This window comes from Homo sapiens, chromosome 11 (assembly GCF_000001405.40).
Source record: "Homo sapiens chromosome 11, GRCh38.p14 Primary Assembly".
NCBI classification, from domain to species: domain Eukaryota; kingdom Metazoa; phylum Chordata; class Mammalia; order Primates; family Hominidae; genus Homo; species Homo sapiens.
In genome coordinates, this window is record NC_000011.10 from 102,175,318 (window position 1) to 102,194,484 (window position 19,167).

The 19,167-nt window shown below is 39.3% G+C and overlaps 1 protein-coding gene across 14 annotated transcripts in view; it reads left to right on the top strand.

The window, feature by feature from the left end:
* The window catches only part of YAP1 (Yes1 associated transcriptional regulator), a 122,978-nt gene that overhangs the window by 64,871 nt on the left and 38,940 nt on the right, over positions 1-19,167 (top strand). For 5 of the 14 annotated variants that reach the window (XM_005271378.4, XM_005271381.4, XM_005271380.4 and 2 more), the window contains one exon: positions 10,701-10,820. The exons of 4 other annotated variants lie outside the window; for them this stretch is intronic. In XM_005271378.4, coding sequence (XP_005271435.1) covers positions 10,701-10,820 — 120 coding nt within the window. The remainder of the gene's footprint in view (positions 1-10,700; positions 10,821-19,167) is intronic. 5 more of the 14 variants (NM_001282101.2, NM_001282100.2, NM_001130145.3 and 2 more) reach the window with 1 other exon arrangement.

Genomic DNA, 19,167 nt, shown 5'->3' on the forward strand with positions numbered 1-19,167 from the left:
TGAACCTGGGAGGTGGAGGCTGCAGTGAGCCAAGATCGCGCCACTGCACTCCAGCCTGGGTGACAGAGCGAGACCTCGTCTCAAAAAAAAACTTATTTCTTTTACCAAAACTTGATGTATAGACTGCCTTTTCTTCAGTAAATGTTTATTTTCCCATATTCGGCTTATCAAAGCCACAAAATAAGTTAGTGATAATAATATAGTCATGTATTGCTTAATGACTGGGATAAGTTCTGAGAAATGGGTTGCTGGGTGATTTCATAATTGTATAAATATCATAGAGTAGGCTTACACAAACCTAGATGGTATAGCCTATTATACACATAGACTCAATGATACAGCTTATCGCTCTTAGGCTACAAACCTGGACAGCATGTTACCGTACTGAAGACTGTAGGCAGTTGTAACACAATGGTAAGTATATGTGTATCTAAATATATCTAAACATAGAAGAGGTAATGCATTGCACTATAACATTACCTTATGACAGCCACGACATCTCTAGGTGACAGGAATTTTTTAGCTCTATTATAAGTTTCTGGGATCACCATTCTATATGTGATCCATCATTGACTGAAATGTCATTATGCAGCAAATTTGTATATAACTATTTCCATTGCGTCTGCCTAAAAATCTTAGTAGTGTGGGCAGAACTTGATTAGGGATTGTTTAAGGCATATATGGTCAAGCATATGAATTTCAGATATTTATGTTTATGGAAGACTCCTTTGTAAAAAAAAACTGAAGAAGAATCAGAGGTGATACATTTTAGTTCCTGTTTATTTTGAAAGCCAAAAGTCTGCACAAATTGCAGACCAAAGTATCACAAACTACTAACAAGGCAGTGGTTTCTAATAAATGTTGCTATCTTTGTCCTGAGCAACCTTGCAAAACTGTACATTCCCACTCATAAAAAATGGAGAACTTTTTCCCTATAGTCTAGGGCAGAGTGATAAGTTTTTCTCATAATTCCACATAGCTTATAGTTAAACTCAGTGTAGAAGAGTGATGAACACAAAACAATACATACTGTATTCAAGAAATCAGAACAGGTGCAATTTAAATTTATAGGTGGGGAAGAGTCTTACTAGTGGGACAGATTGGAGAAAAGCTTCACAAAGATATGGCATAAGAATAGAGTAGAATTGGGTCAGGCACGGTGGCTCACGCCTGTAATCCCAGCACTTTGGGAGGCAATGTGGGTGGATCTTGAGGTCAGGAGTTTGAGACCAGCCTGGCCAACATGGTGAAACCTCATCTCTACTAAAAATAACAAAAGTTAGCCGGGTGTGGTGGTGCACCCCTGTAATCCCAGCTACTCAGGAGGCTGAGGCAGGAGAATCACTTGAACCCAGGAGGCGGAGGTTGCAGTGAGCTGAGATCACACCATTGCACTCCAGGCTGGGCAACAGAGTAAGACTCCGTCTCAAAAAAAAAAAAAAAAAAAAAAAAAAAAAAAGAGTAGAATTTCAGTGGGTTGAAAACAATGGAGGCTGGGAGGACACAGGCTTTGGGGTGGACATACTGAGAATGTAGGGAGGTGGAAAGTGCATGACACTTCTGGGTACTGGAAAGACAGGAGTGAACAAGCCATGCGGCTGGGAGGACTGAATGAATTACTAAAGTGATAGAATCATCTTACCAGAGAGAAAGCAGCTGATGAAGTAGGAGAAGAAACTATATGTAGACAAGTTATTAGGAAGAAGTGACATTCAGAGTGGGAAGGGATGAGAGGGAGTTAGCTAAGCAAAGAAGGTAGAGAGAAGAGTTCCTGCAGGGAGCAACTGCAGTTGTGAAGGTCCTGGAGCTGGGAGAGGAGATGTTTGAGGAACTGAGAGAAGATTGAATGAGGAGGGATGTGAAATGATGTGGAGGAATAGATAGAGCCTGGCATGTTGGATGCTTTCAGTACCGAAGCAGTGCTATATAATGCCTGACTATAGAGGATAACCCACTAAAAATTTGAGAATTTTCCTTTAGGGAGCTGAGCCTTGAGTCAGAGGACTTCCTCCTTAGAGGAGGTGAGGTAAGATGATCATGTGGCTGTGGTACATACAAAGTTTAATGTTGGAGTTGAATAAGACCAATTTGGAAGTTACTGCTAAAACTTTGTCATGGAAATGTGAAAGTTTATGTGAAAGTTTCAAGGTCAAAAGATCGAGACCAGCCTGGCCAACACAGTGAAACCCCATCTTTACTAAATACAAAAATTAGCTGGGCGTGGTGGTGAGGGCCTGTAATCCCAGCTACTCAGGAGGCTGAGGCAGGAGAATCGCTTGAACCCAGCAGGTGGAGGTTGCAGTGAACCAAGATTGCGCCATGGCACTCTAGCCTGGCGACAGAGTGAGACTCGGTCTCAAAAAAAAAAAAAAAAAAAAGTTTATGTGAAAGTTTTGAGGGACAAATGGAAATGGCATTTTGAAGAAACCCCACTCAAAATATGGGAACATATCTTGTGAAGTGTCAAATGTCCAGTTGGAGGAGAAAGACTAGTATTGACCCTGTGAGAGGCATTAAAGATATGGGAGTCATTTATGTGAATATGGCAAGCCATGGGATTTCATGAAAGTTCCAAGAAAAGAGGATTAAAAAAATATGATTACTGTTTGTCATAATTGTGGTGTAGTATTCAAGAGCATGATTTCTGGAGAGCTCAACTGTCAAGGTTTGAATCTCACTCTGCCACTTACTAGGTTGGGCTGAATGATCCTGGACAAGCTAACTTTTCTTTGCCTTAGATTCCTCATCTGTAAAGTGGGTATAATAATAGTACCTCCATCGTAGGGTTGTTAAGTGACTTAACATTTGCTTGCAAAGAACTTAGGAAAAGTGCCGTGTACATAGTAAGAACAGTTTGTGAATCATCATAAATACACGAGACCAGAATTTCAAAACAAGCAGCAGGCAGAATGTTCCTTTAAAAGGTCATTGAATGTACTTTTCCAGCTACTCTTGTTACTTTCTAAGGAAACTACTTGATAATCCTGTACTTTGTAGGACTCATCAGGGTGTGTTTAGTAAACTTCAGTGTCCTAGGTGACTTCTTTATTCCCAAATTGTGGGGCAGGTGACAAGGGGAGGTTGGTCCTCTAACTCGTGGTGTAGTTAATCAGGATTTTCCTGTTTGAATAGACATGGCAAATGGTTTTAGTTAGTCATTACTAATGCAAGAGGGTCCTTAGGCAAGAGCAGGAAGTTAATGGTGAGTCACCTTCAGTGTTATGACATGGAGTATTTCTTTTTAAAATATCACAGGGAGTTGGTTTTTGCTATAGTAGCTAAGTTGTCAATCAAGTAATACTAGTAGTAAATCTTACATAAAAACTCGCTTCCCTCAAGTTTAAGTAGTTCTAATTTATGCATTATTTTATATATTGCCTACTACTCTCTTTTTGCTTATCCTGAATCAAATTTCTCACCCTCTGTCAATCTAATTTTGTGTTGCTATAAAGGAATAACTGAAACTGAGTAATTTATAAAGAAAGGTTTAATTTGGCTCACAGTTCTGCAGGCTGTACAGGAAGCATGGTGCCAGCGTCTGCTTCTGGTGAGGACCTCAGGAAGCTTACAATCCTAGCAAAAGGCAAGTGGGAACCAGTGTGATACATGGTGCAAGAAAGTGAGTGGGAGAAGTCCCAGGCTTTTAAACAACCAGATCTCAGGTGAACTGAATGAGAACTCACTTATGACCAAGGGGATGGTGCGAAGCCATTCATGAGGTACCCCACCCCCCACCCCGTGACCCAGTCACCCCCCACCAGGCCCCACCTCCAACTTTGGGAATCCCATTTCACTATGAAATTTGGAGGGGACAAACATCCAAACCATGTCACCCTCTTTACGTCTCATTAAAATGCTGGCCTGTTTCTCTCTTCCTTTTTGCTATAGGGCCTACTTTTAATCTTTTCTTCGAAAGAAGACTTTGGTATTGGTGGTCAGGCATGATAGCCCAGCCTTGAAAAGCTTCCACATCTTTTTCACGTCTAAGGGCCCAGCTTTCGAGTGTGTAAAAGTTATTTGGGGTGAAAATGTGTATTATCCATTCTCACCAATCTAGAGGTTGTCATGAGTTTGGGGGATTGGAATTACTGTTTAATAATGGTAATCCCCTTTAAGTATTTACTGGTTGAAATAATTAAAGTTTTTCTGGTAGATTCTTAACCATAAAAACGAAGCGAACTGCTTATTCTGCCCCATCCACAGGTAGCAGCCTCTTCATGCTTGCCCCTGCCTGGAATGCCCATGCCCGGAATGTCACATGTTTGGCTAGGAGTGCATTTAGGTCAGAGCTTACAGGTCACTTCCTGCCCTTGATCTGCTTTTCTAAAAAACTGTTTCCCATTTTTCTTTTTCTTTCCCATTTTTCATTTTTCTTTCTTTCATGCATGCTGCTTTATTTTTGCTGCACGTATCATTAGCCAACATTGTACTGTCTTCTATCTGGAACATAAATTCCATCAGATAGGGACTATGTTGTTTATTGCTCCATCTCCAGGGCCTGAATATAGTAGGAACTCAATAAATACTTGTTGAGTAAAAGTATTTGCTATATCCCTGTCCCTTCAGTTTAAATGATACATAAAAATAATGCAGAAATTGAGCTTACATAGAAAGAATGAAACAATATTTTGTTTTACAAGCATAAACAAAGGATTTTAATTACATTCATTTCAGCCAACATTTATTCTATTTTTTTTTTTTTTTTTTTTGAGATGGAGTCTCGCATCCGTCGTCCAGGCTGGAGTGCAATGGCACAATCTTGGCTCACTGCAACCTCCAACTCCCGGGTACGAGAGATTCTCCTGCCTCAGCCTCCCAAGTAGCTGGGACTACAGGTGTGCGCCACCACACCCGGCTAATTTTGTAGTTTTAGTAGAGATGGGGTTTCACCATGTCACCATGTTGGCCAGGCTGGTCTCGAACTCCTGACCTCATGATCCTCCCTCCTTGGCCTCCTAATCTATTTCTAATTAGTAGATCCTATACTGGACAAAAATGGAAAATGCAAAATATATACTCCTGTGTTCAGGAATTTCACAGTCTAGCCAGGAAGAAAACATGCATAATGAAATAATACTGAATGAGCCAGGCGTGGTGGCTCACGCCTGTAATCCCAGCACTTTGGGAGGCCGAGGCAGGTGGATCACAAGGTCAGGAGATCGAGACCATCCTGGCTAACACAGTGAAACCCCGTCTCTACTAAAAGTACAAAAAATTAGCCAGGCATGGTGGCGGGCGCCTGTAGTCCCAGCTACTTGGGATGCTGAGGCAGGAGAATGGCATGAACCTGGGAGGTGGAGCTTGCAGTGAGCCGAGATCATGCCACTGCACTCCAGCCTGGGCGACTGAGCAAGACTCCATCTCAAAAAAAAAAAAAAAAAAAAAGAAGATCAAAACAAAAATAATAATACTGAATGATAAATGCTATGACATAGATATAAAGAAATTTTTTTACTAGCACAGAGAAAGAACTCTTCATCTGTATTGAGGAAGTGAAAAGTTCTCAACTAAAAATGTTTCGAAGCTAAATGGCCAGTAGTAATTCTCGGTCGGGCATGGTAGCTCGCACCTGTAATCCCACCACTTTGGGAGGTCGAGGTGGGAGGATCTCTTGAGCTCAGGATTTCGAGACCAGCCTGGGCAACATAATGAGACCCCATCTCTACAGAAAAATTTAAAAAATAGCTGAGCGTGGTGGTGTGCACCTGTAGTCCTAGCTCCCCAGGAAGCTGAGGCAGGAGGTCACTTGAGCCCAGGAGTCCAAGGCTGCAGTGAGCCGGGATTGCACCACTGCACTCCATCCTGGGTGACAGAATGAGACCCTGCCTCAAAAAAATAAAATAATAGGCCAGGCTCGGTGGCTCACGCCTGTAATCCCAGCACTTTGGGAGGTTGAGGTGGGCGGATCACGAGGTCAGGAGATCGCGACAATCCTGGCTAACACGGTGAAACCCCGTCTCTACTAAAAATACAAAAAAATTAGCCGAGCGTGGTGGTGGGCCCCTGTAGTCCCAGCTACTTGGGAGGCTGAGGCAGGAGAATGGCGTGAACCCGGGAGGCGGAGCTTGCAGTGAGCCGAGATTGCGCCACTGCACTCCAGCCTGGGTGGCAGAGCGAGACTCCGTCTCAAAAATAAATAAATAAATAAATAAAATAAAATAATAACTCCTATGGGTCACATCCATTCTTTTTACTTCCTGCCACCTACTCCTTATTTCTATCTGGTCATTAAGGACAAATGTGAAATGAATTTTGGAGACGGAGAAAGACTCTCTCAAAATAAATAAATAAAATTTAAAAAAAAACGTACTGCCCTTGTGGTGCCTGTTTTGTCATGGTAGATTTGCCTAATCCTAGCAGACGTGACTGTGTACTATTCCCAGACCTGCATAGATTGATCTCCAAACTGCCTAAAATGAATAGATGTGGTTGTGTATAACTCAGATAAATTTGAGAAATACTTCTGTACTAGCTGAAGAATTCTAAGTGGTTGTGTTTTGTTTGTTTTTGTTGTTGTTTTTTGAGACGGAGTCTCACCCTGTTGCCCAGGCTGGAGTGCAGTGGCGTGATCTGGCTCACTGCAACCTCCACCTCCCAGATTCAAGTGATTCTCCTGCCTCAGTCTCCTGAGTAGCTGGGATTACAGGCCCTCACCACCACACCCGGCTAATTTTTTGTATTTTTAGTAGAGACGGGGTTTCACCATGTTAGTCAGGCTGGCCTCAAACTCCTGACCTCGTGATCCCCTGCCTCAGCCTCCCAAAGTGCTGGGATTACAGGCGTGAGCCACCATGCCTGGCCCTAAGTGGTTGTTTTAAATCAGTGGTTCCTTAGACCGGCATCAGCACCACCTGGGAATTTTCAGGCCTGCTGAATCAAAAAGTATAGGGGTAAGGCTCAGCAACATGTGTTTTAACAAACCTTCCAGGTGATTCTGATGAATATTTATAGCACATTATAATCAGAATATAAATTGAACATAAAGGCATCCTAAATTGATTTTGATCGAGCCACTGTGGTCTCCTCTTACATTTATTTTTGTGGTAATCCTACATTTCCCCCCTTGGACTTAACCTTCCTGCATCCTAACCCTAGCCCAAACAGATGATTGAAACACATTTTCACTAAGTGTAATTTGTTTCACTTTCAGAAAACATATCACTTTTTGCTTTCTCTCCTTTTCATGGTTATTCAACAGTTAGTTTAAGAGAATGACTTGGAATCCTGCATTGAGAATCAAGTCACTGAATTTCTTCTAAGGACCACTGGACTAAAAATTCTTTTTTTGTGAATAAAGCCTTTATCTGTATTGTTCCATTAACACTGGAAGAATTGTTTCTTTTCAGTTTTCTCTATCTTAATTCTATGACAAAGATAGTGTGGTGAAAAGTTATTTAAAGGTGATCTTTTCTAATCTATTCCTTGCCTTTGGTGCGCAGCTTTCTTTCAGTACAAAGAAAGTATCCTATTTTGGGCCATCTCTTTCCATATAACATTATATTTTACCCAGAGAGTATTAAATGAAAGATAAAATGAATATAAAGTATTATTTTGTATTTGGTATATATGTGTTGGTATAAATGTTAATTGCAAATAATATAGGTTCTACATGATTTTAAGCTTACAGAAAGTTCAAAGTATTACTTAAAAGGCAAGACATTGATTCTTCCATCAAACATTTATTGAGCAGCTATTCAGGTATTAGCCTACAAGCTTGTAAAGAAGAATGACTTGATCATTGCCAGGAGAACAGATATGTAATCAAGTAATTACAATTCTACCTGTTAAATGTGCATGGAGAATGGAAGAGGAAACTAATTTCTGTCTGAGGTAGTATGGAAAGGCTGAATTAAAGAAGTGACATCTGAGCTGTCTCTTGCAGGATGACTAAGAGTTTAGGAGGTAGGGGATGCAGAGTATTTGTGATAATGGGAACGGCATATACAAGGAGATGGCATGATTTTATGGAAAGTTGGTGGGAAAACTGGGTATCTGAAGAAGACTTCAGAAATGAATCCAGCTAGTAAAGAATTTAGGCATTTTCCTCTTGATGGAGAGCAATAGGAATGTTCTTTAGTAAGAATGAATGACATGTTTAAAAGATGAATCGAAAATATTTTAAGAAGAGAAACCCCTGGTGACTGATAGAGGACCTTGGAGTGAGAAGAGATGACAAGCCAGTTACTGAGGAAGTGGTCAAAAAAGAGAGCTGGTAAGTATTGATGGCTGAGTTCTCTGAGATGGACTGTGGCAGACCCATCGGAGAGAATATAAGTGGAATTTACAAAATGAAGTGAGTGGAGCAGGTAGGGAAGGTTGGTTTGTATCCTAGGTATCTCTTGTGGCTCTCATTCAGACAGCTAAGGTGGGGAATAATGCTGTTTCTGTGTGTGTGTGTGTGTGTGTGTGTGTGTGTGTGTGTTTAAACCACATATATGAAACCCATATATTCAAGCAGGCTTGAAAGCTACAATGAGGGCCGGGCGCGGTGGCTCACGCCTGTAATCCCAGCACTTTGGGAGGCCGAGGCGGGCGGATCACGAGGTCAGGAGATCGAGACCATCCCGGCTAAAATGGTGAAACCCCGTCTCTACTAAAAATACAAAAAAATTAGCCGGGCGTAGTGGCGGGCGCCTGTAGTCCCAGCTACTTGGGAGGCGGAGGCAGGAGAATGGCGTGAACCCGGGAGGCGGAGCTTGCAGTGAGCCGAGATCCCGCCACTGCACTCCAGCCTGGGCGACAGAGCGAGACTCCGTCTCAAAAAAAAAAAAAAAAAAAGAAAGCTACAATGAGATCTTGGGGTTGTTGAGTTGAGGCTCCCAAAGGCATTCAGTGATTGCTATTGACTTGTTCATCACCATGTATAGTCACATGGTATTTTCAGTGCCTAAAAATTTTAAATACAGTTAGTTGTTTTGCAAAAGCTTTTTATAATTCAGCCATTTTACAGTTAAAGATAGTAGCAAACCATTAATATTCAGTTTTGGAGTTCTGTCTTTCTGGGGAGGAAATAGAGCCCAAAATGACAGTGAAAGCTGGTGAGAAAAGGTTTGATATACATGTGATAAACAGGTTTGCTTCTCATTCAGCCTCTGGTAAACTTGGGATGTGTACAACAAATTCTACCTCTGGACTTGGTTAGTAGTGTGTACTACACATCCAGGACTGAAGGGGAGCCTTCCTAAGGATTCTAGGCATGGAGAAAACTAATTCCACACGTCTGCATTTCCTAACAGGATTTTACCCCATCAAAGTAGACCTTTGAAAATGCAGCTGCAAATTGATCTGTTCCTAATACGAATGAAACTGGCCTAAAAATAGGACTTTGGGTCCCATGGGCCTTGTGTGAGTGGTCAGTTTAACCAAAGTTACTTATTCAGCATCACCCATGAGACTGGTGTGGACTGCCAATACAGGAAGAAGGGAATTGTTCTATTTGTGCATAGGAGGGATACTTAGGCTCTGGTCATCTGTGGGAGATGAGTGAAAAGAAGTATAGTTGTGAAGAGCAGTCAGTGGGTTAGGAATCACGCTGCCTGGCTTTGAGTACCATTCCTGGTACTAACTAGCTTTGGGATCTTGTACCAGACTGATCAACCTGGCACTTTGTGCCTCAGTTTCCTCATTAGAATAAGTAGTACTACTGCTTATGTCATTTGTTTACTGTAAGAATTAAATGAATTAATGTACATAATATATAAGAACAATGACTAGCACAAGATAAGTGTTCAATTCATGTTAGTCCACAGAAGAAAAGATTTTAGCCATGTACTGACCATCCCAGTTTGTATCTCCTGCCCTGCCTCTTTTGATTCCTGTTGGAAATGGGAACTGGGGGAGTTGGGAGGGACAAGGAAATCAGGAAGAATTATGTTTGAATACTTTAGTTATTTATTCTGGGCCTCTCTTTTCATTGCTGTTACCTCCCAAGAGCAATTGTCTTGACTTCTCTATTCCTATAAAGATAGGAAAATCCTTTTAGAGTTAACTGTATTCTTTAGTCCTATCTCTCAAATGATGTTCCTTAAAGTTTGCCTTCCAACAACTTTAGCACTTATCTTGCCTCCTCCCAAGCCTCCAACAAGCTTAAACTTCAAATTGCAACCCCAACCCATTAGCAATTTCTGGTCTGCTGAAAAATAAGCTTTGTTTGGACTGTAGCTTTCTGTCTTACAGTTTTCTTGGTGTGAGCCACTCACATAAAACATGGAAATAAATAGAGCTTGGCTGTCTTAGCTAAAATGTGCTTTATATTAAATAGAATGTTTATGATATTTTCAACGTTCTAAAAATACTTGCATGTATTTCTTATTAATGAACCTTGGTGTTCCTAGGAAGGTATTGTCACAAAACTGATTGGATTGGGTGGTAGTTTCTGAGCTGCAAGCTCTTCCGTGTCTTATGTTAACAGTAATAGTAATTATTTGGGCCATGACTTCCAAAAGGATTTTTTGGAAAAAAATTTTTTTTCTTCATCTCTGTGTTGAGGAATATTCATTTTATTATTTGGTGGTTTCTTTTTAGTGGAGAAGAAGCAGGTATATAGGTTTACCTTTCTTCTCTGAACACAGCCTTAAATATGTTTCAATGAATTGTTTTATGTTAAGATGTGTTTTCTTTTTAAATTAGTACCCCCTCCCACTTTTTTTTAGGTGCACCAAATAAAAACCATGATTTTTTTTTTTTTTTCTGTATTATAGGTCCTCTTCCTGATGGATGGGAACAAGCCATGACTCAGGATGGAGAAATTTACTATATAAACCATAAGAACAAGACCACCTCTTGGCTAGACCCAAGGCTTGACCCTCGTTTTGGTAAAGGTTCATCTCAAAACCTTTTTAGATGCTTTTGGTTGCTAATTTTTTTTGTAAATATACTTCGGAAAGCACATTTAAATAAAATCGCATTGCTTTATAGTATTAAAAAATGACCCTGCCCACCCAATGTTTACCAGTAGTGTTTTTATCCTTCTCATTGTAAACTTGAGAAATTTAGATCTGAATCAGATTTTTAGGGCTCCTCAGGTTGGGGTGGGGGAATGTCATAATGGCCGACTAACCAGAATCACTTGTTCCTTTCACATTTTGGGAGAAACACAGTGATTGTTTTTAAAATGTTTTTTTTTTTTAGCTGCAATAATAATCAGGCTGTCATGCAACACCTCAGACCAGGAGTACCAGCTTTTGTCAGTGACCTGATGTCTGCTTGTGCTTAGGTTCTGAGAGTGATGAGTACCATCTTATGCCTGGGTGTTGTAGTGTTTCCCATCCTAAGGAGGAACATGTCACCCCAGAAATGGCCCAGTGAAAGCATTTTGCCCCCTCTTCTGTCTCTCTCGAAAAATAAATGTTTTTTTTTCTTCATTCAGAAAACAAAGAAAGCCATATTCCCCTCCAGATCTCATGAATAAATCACATTTGCACAAAGGAACCCCTCCCCTTCCAAATGTGTACATTTTGATAAGGGTGTAACCAGTTCTTCAGTGCTTTTTAAAAAATGTGTGTGTGTGTGTGTGTGTGTGTGTGTGTGTTTTAAACTGTTTTCAGTTTTTCATTTGGGTTTCTGAGATATTTTTCCAAGGCCATGGAATATGCATCTAAAAAAGAGCAGATAATTGTGGTTTTGAAGCTTCATCTTGGACTAGATGCAGCTAAATGAAAACAATGTGCAGATCACTGAATAGGTCAGACTGAGGGGACTCGGAACCTTTGAAGCTTTACAGGGTTTGACCTAACAACAACTGCGGGGCCCTCACGGGAAAGAGGAATTAACTCTGTGAATGCCATGAAAACACAACCCTGCGGGGGGAAAAAAGAAAAAACTGTATCTGGAGCTGGTTGGATAAAATAACTTCTCCATCGGGAATATTATGAGCAGTTATTTTGTGTCTTATATATACCTTTAAAAAAATAAATTCAAGTTTGCCCCAAACTGACTGAACCCCCTGTTCAAGTTAAGTCAATGGCAGGATCAGGGCAGTGATGTCATTTTGACAGATAACCGGTTTGGCTTAAATACTGTCCTTTTAAGCTTCAAGACCTGTTTGGGTGTTAAAAAAAGTAATGAGGTATGTTAATAATTTGCAACTTCAGATTCTGTTTACTATTTGAATTAGCCCTTGTGATTGGAACAGGAAACCAAGTAAGATAGAGAATTTAATAAATGCGGCCAATTGTTTGGACTGGAACAATAACAGCCATGTTTCCTTAAATTATCTCTAATGAAATGAATGAATTCAGTTTCTCCACATTTTGGAAATTCTGAAGAATGGTGTTGCGGAATTTTTTTCCCTGACATAAGGTTATGAAAGATGATGACGAACGCTTTACCAACTGCAGAGATCAGGAAGAACAAAGCTTTTTAAAGAAAAAAATTTTTTCCTTTAAAACAGTGAAATAAAACAACTTTTCTGTAAGCTTAAGTAGACTATTGATTACACACACAGCTTGGTCTTTTGTTTTAAGAGGAGGAGGTACTTTAAAAAAACACTACCACCCTCCAGCACGTTATGTACACACAGGCATACAGTTAGATGTGCCCAGAAAAAGTTTCATAAAATTCTCTTATTGCATTTAGTTTCCCTTTTTGGGCCCACCGTGTGTGTATTCCAGACAGGCTTGACAATATGCCAGAGCTTTTTATTTTGTGGCCCGACTTTTAATCTGTTCCAGACCTTTTCACTCAGAGAGCTCAAGTGTAACTGAAGGGGGGCAGGAAAGAAAAAAACGTGTGGGTTTCTCTGATCTAGAGTGACAGCAAATAGAGACAAGCTGTTAGCTGCTGGATTTGAAGTTTTCCTTGAAATCAGAAGTTCTGCATAGTGGATTATGTTTTATCTCTGCCAAAGAAATATAAACTATCCCCTTGTTTCTGACCCTTTGGGCCATACAAACACAAACAAATGGTGTAGGATATTGCTTTCATGATTGTGGAGTTTGCTTTTCGATATTCTTCAAATCTATATTAAAATATTTATCAATTTTTGGCTTAAGTCAAGTAGATGTGTGTCTTTCAGTGTCTTAGAATGGGAGCTAAGCCCCTAGAGAAGCTTAATTTTAGCTCCTTCAAACAACCCCTTTTATATGTTTATTTATCAGATGCTTTCAGATTAATTATAGTTAGAATATAGCCATTTGCTTTAAGATTAAACATATTTAGTAATTACACTTCATTTGCTGCATAATAACGTTTCAGTCAGCGGCAGACCACATATACAGTCGTGGTCCTATATGATTCTAATACTGTGTTTTTACTGTAACTTTTCTATGTTTAGATACACAAATACTACCCGTTGTGCTACAGTTGCCTACAGTGTTCAGCACACTAACAGGCTGTACAGTTCTGTAGCTTGGGGCGATAGGCTATACCTTACAGCCTAGGCATGTAGTAGGCTATACCATCTAGGTTTGTGTAAGTACTCTCTAAGATGTTTGCACAGTGACAGAATTGCCAATGATCCATTTCACAAAGCATATCCTGGTTATTAAGTGACACATGACTATATTTATAGTATCAATCCTTCACATCTCACATGAAATTAATGTTATTTATGTAATTTTAGGGAATAAAAGAGTAATTTGTTGTGGATTGGGTTTTTTAATGATTTTTTTCTTTAACATTTAAAAGCTATTTCTTTAATATTTTAATTTTAGAGAATTCATTAGTAATTTATAACAAATCATGAAGTGACATCAGATGGCAATAAGGATGCCCTGATGTTTATTGAGTTTTAAGAAAAATAGGGCTTTTTTTGTTTGTTTTTTTAAGGAGTCATATTAGGAGTGTTTTTACTCTTTGTTCAAGAAAATGGTTCCTTGAGTATTATGCAAGCCATTAAATTATTTCATATAAACACATAGGAGGTGATTTTTTTTCCCTGGAGATTTTGTACTGGCAAACATGAGTCTCAGGTTTAAACATCACCTTGTATGTTGTAGATCTATTACTGTATATAATACAGTCATGGACATTTTCCAGTAAAAGGCCTAATGAAAACACAATGAAATTATAATTGCTGTTCAGAATGAAAAAAGATCTTTAAAACACTAATAGTTGATAAACTGATCTTTAATGTTATTTTCGCTATTGTTTATATTATAAAAAGATGTATTAAAATATTGTTACCAATCTGTGTTTTAGGAAATAAGTGCTGATGGCACCACTGGGATAAAAATATTTGGTGTAAACAAAATATTGGAGCAAGAGATTTGGGGAAAAAATTATACTTCTGAATTTTAAAGCAAGTAATGAACAGTCCAGAGTGACAAAAACAGAATATTTAATTCCTAACTACAGTTCTGTGCACAGAAATTCTATGTGTAGAAATGTCAGAGGTATTAAACCTCATAGGTTGATTTTGGTTCCTTTGTTTCAGTTTCCCAAAACTTGCTTTCTGTGCATTTACATACACGTGTGTATGTGTTACTATAATGTCTTGAAATAAGAAATAAAAGGATAAGTAAAATACAAATACCTATATGCAATTTATTAAAATAAGACTAAAGCCGAAGGTTGTTGAGACTTCTTTTTCATCAGAGTTAAATATTTGGCATTAATAATTAAATATCTATAAAAATTTTGAGACATTCATTAACATTTTTTCTTTTTTAAGCCAAATATTTCTGTTGTTAAAAATAATATTTTCCTTTTGATGAAAATGCACCTAACAACCAACTAAATAACTAAGAATCCATCCTATTAGTGTTGGGGGAAAACCACTGAAGTCTCTAGAAACCAAATTGGTAACTTTATTAATGGAGTCTTGAGCAAAGAGAATGTCAGCATCTAATTATTTAAATTTTATCAAAGCAAGTCTCTTGATAGCTGTATGCTAAAAGTGAGGTTTTTTTTGTTCTGTTTTGTTTTGTTTTGAGGTTTGAGGCTTTTTTTCCCCTTATCAACTCAAGTCTTTCCTGGTTATCCTGGGCTGTCAGTATTTGGTTATGGACTACATTAATTACTTAGCGTACAGAGGAAAAGATGTGTGTTTTAGATAAAAAGAGCTATTGCGAGCTAAAAATTATTAACAGATGGCCAGGTGCGGTGGCTCATGCCTGTAATCCCAGCACTTTGGGAGGTCAAGGTGGATGGATCACTTGAGGCCAGGAGTTCCTGACCAGCCTGGCCAACATAGTGAAACCCCATCTCTACTAAAAATAGAAAAAAATAGCTGGGAGTGGTGGTGCACGCTTGTAGTCACTCAGGAGGCTGAGGCATGAGAATCACTTGAATCCAGGCGGCAGAGGTTGCAGTGAGTGAATATCATGCCACTCTACTCCAGCCTGGGCAACAGAGACTCTGTCTCAAAAAATTAAGAATAAAAATAAAAATTAGTAACAGGCTGGATGCAGTGGCTCACGCCTGTAATCCCAGCACTTTGGGAGGCCCTGGTGGGCAGATCACTTTAGGTAAGGAGTTCAAGACCAGCCTGGCCAACATGGTCAAACCCCGTCTACTAAAAATGCAAAAATTAGCCAGGTGTGATGGCACACGCCTATAATCCCAGCTGCTTGGGAGGCTGAGGCACTGAGAATCACTTGAACCCGGTAGGCAGAGGTTGCAGTGAGCTAAGATGGTGCACTGCATTCTAGCCTGGGAGACAGAGCGAAACTCCATCTCAAAAGCCGAGGCTGATGGATCATGAGGTTAGAGATCAAGACCATCCTGGCCAACATGGTGACACCCCATCTCTGCTAAAAATACAAAAATTAGCTGGGCTGGTGGCACGCACCTATAGTCCCAACTACTCAGGAGGCTGAGGCAGGAGAATCGCTTGAACCTGGGAGGCAGAGGTTGCAGTGAGCCCAAGATCGCACCACTGCACTCCAGCCTGGGCAACAGAGCGAGACTCCATCTCAAAAAAAAAAAAAATTATTAACTGATAAAACTCACAAAATTTGGCCCTCATAATGAGTCCTCTAATCATCATTTTTTCAGTGGGGAGAATGCTACTCTTCTGATCACTGCAGAACATTCAACATCCCTGGCCCGCTAAGTGCCATAGCACCACACAGCCATTACGATTCCTCGGACCACCAACACTTTTTTTTTTTTTTTTAAATGCTGGGAGAGTTAGGGAATATGGTCTAAAATCTGAGCCCCTCTGAGATCAGGGAAATTATACCCAAGGTTATATAGTTAAATGGCAAAACTGAAATTTGAATTTGATCTTTTGATACCTAGAATTTAAAAGAAATTTAGATTCAATGCAGTTAATCTTTCAGAAATACCTACTAATGCTGATACATGAAAATTTGAGAGGGAGAAAAATAGTGGTTAATGCACTTGCATCTTGTATTGTGACTCATCTTGAATAAGTTACCCAAAGATAATGAGTTTTTCTTTTTTTCTTTTCTTCCTTTATTGTTTCTTTCTTTTTTGGAGAGAGGGTCTCACTCTCATCGCCCAGGCTAGAGTGCAGCATGGCTCAATCTCAGTTCACTGCAGCCTTAATTCCTGGGCTCATACAAGCCTCCCGCCTGTAGCTGGGACTACAGGCATGTGCCACCATACCCTGCTAATTTTTTTGTGTTTTTAGTAGACATGGGGTTTTGCCGTGTTGCCCAGGCTGGTCTCAAACCCCTGGGGCTCAAGCAGTCTACCTGCCTCTACCTCCCAAAGTGCTGAGTTTACAGGTGTGAGCCATAGGGCCTGGCCAAGTTTCTAATTACGTAAGAGAATTTAAGATCTCTGATTGGAACAGACTTTAAAGGCATCTAGTTGAATTATTTACCCAATTCTTGCCTCACCGATCTCAGCTTTGACCTTTCCCTTTACTAGTTTACTTCATTATAGTGTAGCCCATTCTACTTAAGGAAAATTCTAATGACCACAAAGTTTATATTTCTTGATTACCCAAAAATTTACTTCCTTTCACATGTGTGAATACAGCTCTAATCCCAGCAGTGTTCTCTTCTAACTGTGGTTTCTCTGGTTTTTCATGTGTTCAGAGTTCTCTGTTCTTTATCAATTTACTCACTTCTCTGGATGTCCTTCATTTTGCTAGTGCTTCTTTAAGTGTTATATTCTATAGTGTTTCATATGTACATTATCCTGTGAGAAAAATAGTTATGTCATTGCTCTGACCTGTCATTTTCAATCTCCTCCAAAAATCTTTCTTCAATCTGCAGTAGAGGCTAGCATCTCTTTTCCACATGATAGTTACAACAATGTACTTGATTCAACTGAATTAAATTGGGATGTAGAAAAATTTACCTTCTCAGTTGGAAATCAAGAGACCCAAGTTCTGCTATCACAATATAACCAACTGGATCAGAAAGATACCTAACTTCTCTTGACTCATCTGTAAAATGTGACTGGATTAGACTGGATGCTCTTAAGAATATTTCCACTCTTTAACTGAATACAATATGCTCAGTAACTGCTTTGGACTCTTGCTTAAGGTTACTTCTCAATAGCCTTTTTGATTTGAGTGCATTGAGGTTTCAGAGATACTTTTGAACTATTTATTGCACCATTTAAGTTTAACTTTGGTCCTCTGGTCACAGTGTGGAATTACTTTTGAAGAGGAGACAGGGAAATCTTCCAGCCTTTAATCTAAAGATAAGCCTTATCACATGGTGAGTATGTCCAGGCAAACAAATCTGATGGGGGGTGTGGGAAGTGCTGGGCTGAATAGTTAAGCTTTGTCCACACTCTCAAACTCTTGGAAGCATATGGGAGTTTAAACATGTTCATGTTAGCAAAGTTCAGCTTTATTGCCTTAAAGATGATGCCTTGTTGGTACACTTTGTTTCTAAAATTTAAAACTCCCATAAAGTTGCCATGACAGAAAGTCTAATGTAAGCAGATTTGAAGCCTAGTTCCAGGCCATGTGCTTAGCAAAACCTGATTTAAGACATACCAATAGAGATTGTTAGTAATTATTGCTCTCACTACATTTTCTTTTTCCTTCAAAAGCAAGCATTTGCTTAAATGAATATTTTAATACATAAGATTATAGAATAGATTTCAAAATTAGTTCCACACTTGAGCTCTGCAGTTTTTAAAATTTTATGTTAAATTCAGTAGGATATATTCTAAAAAGTAAACAACTTTAGTTGTATTCCTCTGTCCAGTATGTCTCAACTATGTTTTGTGAAATTTCGCTGTTCCTTTTTAAAATGTTTTATTTTTTATCTAAAAATAAATACTTTGGTTAGCTAGGGAAAATATCCAGTAAGGTAGTTCCAAAATAGTTTATCAGTTATGGTAAGCAATCTCTCCTGTACTAACCAAGGCTGAGTAGACATATGTTACGGAGGATAAACTAATAGGTAATTTCTACTTGATCAGTATTTCATTGATGCAATTAGTTAATTATACAGTGAAGAAACATTTTTATCTTTCTTTACATAATGAGTACATTGTTCATACAGGATTTTTTAAACATGAAAGTTTAAGACCAGCAACGTCAATTAGATGATAGTTTAAACTAATGCCTTATTCGTGTTACTAAAGCCGCTATCAAACACACTTAAAAAGACCTTACATAGTTTTTTGGGGGTTTTTTTTTGTTTGATTTTTGTTTTTTTTTTTTTGAGACGGAGTCTCGCTCTGTCGCCCAGGCTGGAGTGCAGTGGCGCAATCTTGGCTCACTGCAACCTCCGCCTCCCGAGTAGCTGGGACTACAGGTGCCTGCCACCGTGCCCGGCTAATTTTTTGTATTTTAGTAGAGACAGGGTTTCACCATGTTAGCCAGGATGGTCTCGATCTCCTGAACTCGTGATCCGCCCACCTCGGCCTCCCGAAGTGCTGGGATTACAGGCGTGAGCCACCGTGCCAAGCCTTTTACATAGTTTTTTAAAAGGAAACTTTTTCAAGTTATATTTGTATTAACTCTGTATTAACAGCAAACATCTTATATGCTGGAAAAGAGGAACCATTTGGTGTTGCTTGCTACTTTTTGTACCAACCCAAAGATTCAGATGTAAGAAAAAGAAAGAGATTATAGAATTATTGGAAAGGTCAAATTTCTGTTGAAAGTAATTGGTGTGATTTAGAAGGAGAGTGGTTCAGATTCTGTTTTGTTTTGTTTTATACTCATTTTGTTCTGCTACCCTAGTTGCTAAGGTCATTTTAGAACTCATTCTGGACTTGCTTCAACTTGGAGATTCTCCTGTGCATTACTAATAGCATCCTCCTAACTAGGGAGAGAAACTATTTTAG